Source organism: Homo sapiens, chromosome 1, assembly GCF_000001405.40.
Source record: "Homo sapiens chromosome 1, GRCh38.p14 Primary Assembly".
Classification (NCBI taxonomy): domain Eukaryota; kingdom Metazoa; phylum Chordata; class Mammalia; order Primates; family Hominidae; genus Homo; species Homo sapiens.
In genome coordinates this window covers 95284264-95288987 of record NC_000001.11, presented here as the reverse complement: position 1 = coordinate 95288987, position 4724 = coordinate 95284264, and the positions used below count along the sequence as shown (strand labels likewise).

The 4724-nt window shown below is 36.3% G+C and overlaps 1 annotated feature.

Moving 5' to 3' along the window:
* Positions 208–408: a silencer, noted in NCBI's record as "peak328 fragment used in MPRA reporter construct". NCBI's record gives its function as "represses an SCP1 promoter by STARR-seq MPRAs in K562 erythroleukemia cells {active_cell/tissue: K562}" and the evidence as "EXISTENCE:reporter gene assay evidence [ECO:0000049][PMID:32103011]".

Here is a 4724-nt window from a genome sequence, read left to right as displayed (position 1 = left end):
CTGCAGTATTAAAATTTCACCAGAGAATGGAGTAAGGGGAAAAGTGAGGAGAATTAAGGTGGAAAAATGTCTAAAAAGGCTATCTGGGGGAAATAATGAGAAAAACTGAGAAACATTAAACTAAAACAAAGTTCTACTTGAGGGCTGGAGACCAGGACAGCTTAAAAGATGTGTTGTCCTGGGAGAAGAGTAGGGGGCAAGGATAGGAAGGAGTGGAATGGATGGCATTCTGAGTGGCAGAAACAGCGTATGCACAGACCTAGAGAAGGTAAACAACATAAAATGCAATAGCATGGTCAAATAAGATAAGGTCTGAGAAAGGTTTATTGGATTTAGCAATTAGGAGGTCACTGGCCATTTAACCTCCTTGTGCTTCAGTTTCAATACTTGTTAAATTAAATTGAAAAATAATCTCTAAGGCAACTTACAGCTCTAAAGACTCTTTCGCCAGGTTGGATCTCTTTACACACAGAGACACACAAACATATCCACACACTTACACGCACTCCCAACACACATGCTCATCTTTCTTCTTAATTTGATTTTCCTAACTCTCTAAAACTATATATGTCTTTGGAGAATTCCAGTTCTCTTCGTTTAATTATAACAATGCTTTGAAAAAAAATCAGTTATGAGAATCTATAGTGTCCTGATAAAGTGAATTGCTGAACAATAAACTGGTGAATATTATTTCCTATAAACATTTCTAATGCCTTGTAAATACCTTTTATAATGTAATAAGCTCTTTAGAATGTGGATACCAAATTTTATTTCATTTACAAAAATGATTTTAAAACTCAGATTTACTCTAACAAGGCAAAAAATACTTTCTCTTAAAGCTATCACTCCTTTATTAAATATTTACGAAGTGCCTAGTATGTGTCAAATAAGATATGAGTTGGGGAAATACCAGTGAGTAAAACAAACAGTTCATAGCTTCCAGAGCTTAGGAGGAGGAAAGTGAGGAGGAGAGTAATTGCAAAGTTGATGATGTTTGCACAACTTAGTCATTGCTATCATGGCCGCATTGGTAACATATCTGAAGCTTGCATGTTCCTGAAAATAGAGCCCTGAGGAACAGGTAAAGTATCACTAAGGGGCAGCACAGACAACAGTCACTCAGAAAAGGGCATTCTTAACCATTTTGGAGCCATAAACCCCTTCTTGGATTCCTGGTTTTGATATCTAAAATAAAATTACAAATGAAACCAATTATATTGAATACAGTCATTTTTTAAAAAATGAACAAGATAGTAAAATATGTACTTCTTTATTACATTAAATAACAAGTCAGGCAGCTGTCCTCATACTTACTATAATTCTGAGGTAGTGACAAGCCCAAATGACATAGTGAGGTACTTGCATCTCTATAACATGTTCTGGAAATATTTGTGATTTCTAGAGATGACAAAGTCACAGATACAGCTAAGAATACTATGGTTGTCACCTACATTCATAATTGAACAATGTTAAATTTCAGTTGGAGATTAATTAAAGATTTTTTTCCTATTGAAATTCACAGATTCCCCTGAATTCCATCCAGAGACCTGTAGATTTGGAGGTCTGCGGCCCCCTGTTCTAGGGCATTAAGCTAAATCAGGATTTTTTTCTTTCAATAATGTAGCTCCATGGTCACTTCTAGAGCTACAGCTCTATCATTGGGACTGCTCAAATGTGTAACTTGTTCATTACTTGGGACACACTGCCATCCCATGGCTCCTCTTGAAGAGTTGAGCATTAATAACCAGCAACAAAGCAGCCTTTTAGGGCATTAGACCAAACCTGCAAATTAATGCACCGGTTCATCACAATTCATTAATCAAACTCAGACTGGGTTTAACAACAGATTATTAAAGACTCAAAATTATATCCACAGAAAAAAAAAAAAAGCAGCTCCCAGAGGGTCAAATGTAATGTGAATGGCTTTGCATAAAACCATAAACCTGCTATTAAATTAAAAACAGAAAAAATTATGTCCACTCCTTATCTCCAGGCATTTTTTTTTTAAAGGAATGCTACACTAATTTATTTCTTCGCTGTTCCTGGTTACACGGTAAAAGACTAAAAGGTTAAAATGCAATGGTTCTTTGATGTTTGGTTGAGCAACTTTCACTAACATGTTCTGATTGAGGTGAAGAAATTAATAAAATTATTTCCATAATTCATTACTAATGGGAAGCTGTCGATGCTTTCAGCTGACAGTTCACACAAATTCTCCTCAGACACTGAGACACCTCATGGTGACTGGCTGCTGGACTCACTCCTTCCAACTGTGTTCAGCAAAGCAGAGCCTGGCTCCCTGGGCCCGCTGTTTCCTGATCTCTCACCTCTGCGTGTTTGTTCTTGACAAACAAGTCTGTTCTCTCTGTGAACAAAAGCAGAAGGGGAAAACAATGATTTTAATTTTTCTTTCCCTTCAGGGAATTTAGGTAGCCCCTCTGGGGAACCTCGATGACTTGTAAACATTCAGAATGCTATAATTTGGCAGATCGCAGTGCTGCAACCAAATGTGCAATGAATTTTCTTAAAAGGTTAATATTTTAGTGCAGTAATCATAGATAAAGAGCATAACAATAATAAGATGTGTGGAACAAACAAATTTCAAGAACTGTATGGTTTTGCAACATCTTTGCTCTTTTCCCATTAGAATTGAATCATTAGTTCTTTCTGGTTTTGCAGAAACAGATGCAAAAATTACTAGCACACATGTTGATTAAGGTAGGTAAGTGACATTTCTGGAAACACAAAAATTTTTATTCAAATTATGTACCTGTTTGATATTTATAGGGTGTTTTTGTCTTAGAACTGCGTGTTTTAAACTCCAAACTCCTAAAGAGCAAAGACTACATCTCTGTTATGTATCTGAAGATAATTAATACCTTCTCTTTGAAGATAAGCTCCTATACATTGGTCATACCAAGACGGCATCAAATAATATTATGGATGAGGCAAAATATACCAGAAATCACATAATATTTGATTAACATATTATTCTATTATATATGTGTGTGTATTTACATAAACATAAAATAGAATAGAAACAACCTAAAATTAACATCTTCAAAGCACTTTATAAAAACAGTGAGATTCTAATACAACATGACTCAGGTTGAGATTTGGGCTATATTGTTGTGGTTACATCATGAACAGCAAATGCAGAGTTCAATTTTGTCACCTCCTCTCCCAACCCCCCGCACTCTTTCCTGCTGGCTCAGAATCATAATCCATTTTAACACAACATAACAGACAGCCTTGCCTAATTGCTTAGTGATCACTTAAAATGAAATGTATTCACTCTATCCAGATACAGAACCTGGAACATAGTAGATACTCCATAAAGATTTATTGAAATGAAAAATGAAACTCCCTCCCCTCTTTCCAAATGAAAACATACTATGTTACCATTATTCTTCCAAAATTAACTTAATCACTACTGATTCCCACAAAGCGTTATCATAGAGATTAACTGCAAGTAAGTTCTTCATTAAAATATTTTGGATTAATGCACTGAGCCCTGAATTTCATGCAGATGTTTATGACTCTATCATGAGGGAGAATGTATATACCAGAAGAGAAAAATTATATTTACTTGAAAACACGACTATAAAACTCATATCATAGAAACTAGGGACATTGCAGGCCACCAAGATATCAAAAATGAAGTAAACCTTAACTTTGGAACGATGGCACTCTGTGCAAAAGAGTACTATTGAGATTCCTTACCTCTCTAAGGTGACATAAGTGGACAAATAATAGTAATAGCTACAGTGTATAAAGCTCTTACTCTGGAACAGAAATCTGCTACATATGTGACATGAAACAGAAGCCCATGATGCAGATGGTGTGGGTATTAGCATGACCCTTCACAGAGCAGGAACTTCAGAGAGCTCAGCAGCTCACCTAAGGTCATACAAGGGAGTTGCAGAGCCAACACGCAGTTACATCTGGCTGACTCCAATTACTCCCTTCTCCTCTCCGATCTTTTCCCATACATGTCCTTCACCAGAGCTACCTCAAATGGAAAAAATAAATACTGAAGGAAAGATCTGGGCCCCATACATATCTTTGTGTCAGTTTTCCTTAGCCTACAAAATGGAAGTGCCAAAATAGCAAAGTGCTCAACAGATTGGGCCATGGCATCAGATTGTCTGGATCAGCTTCCCAGTTCCAGGACTTCCTTGTGCAGATGATTTTCTTATCTTCTTTATGCCTCAGTTTCCTCATAAGTAAAATGGTTATGGTAATAATAGCAACACTGTGGGATTGTAGTGATAATTAAATGAATTAATAAAGAGCAAGTGCTCAGTCCTGGACACACAGAAAGTGCTGAGTAAGTGTTTAAGTGTTGGGTGCTATTTTTAGCTCTTATGGCTATATTAGAAGACAGATTTGGCCACCCACAAGTCAGCTTGTTAGTTGATAAGCTTCCAATCATCAAGTTTTACTGAGCATCTAAAATATTGCAATATAAACAACAAAATAGCCTGAAAGTAGTCCTAATCTAAGATATCGGGTCATAAATTCTTTGACATAACCGACAATTTGGCAATTCCTCACTAAGTAACCAAGAAGGGGTCATTAATGACCTTGGAAAAGAATTTCTTTTAAATATGATTGGGAAAAGAATAGCTTATTACGGGGGTAAGAAAACAGAATGATAAGGAAATTGAAATAGCAGTATAGGTGATTCTTCTTGGCATTTTGGTAGTGAGTGCAAGGAGGGA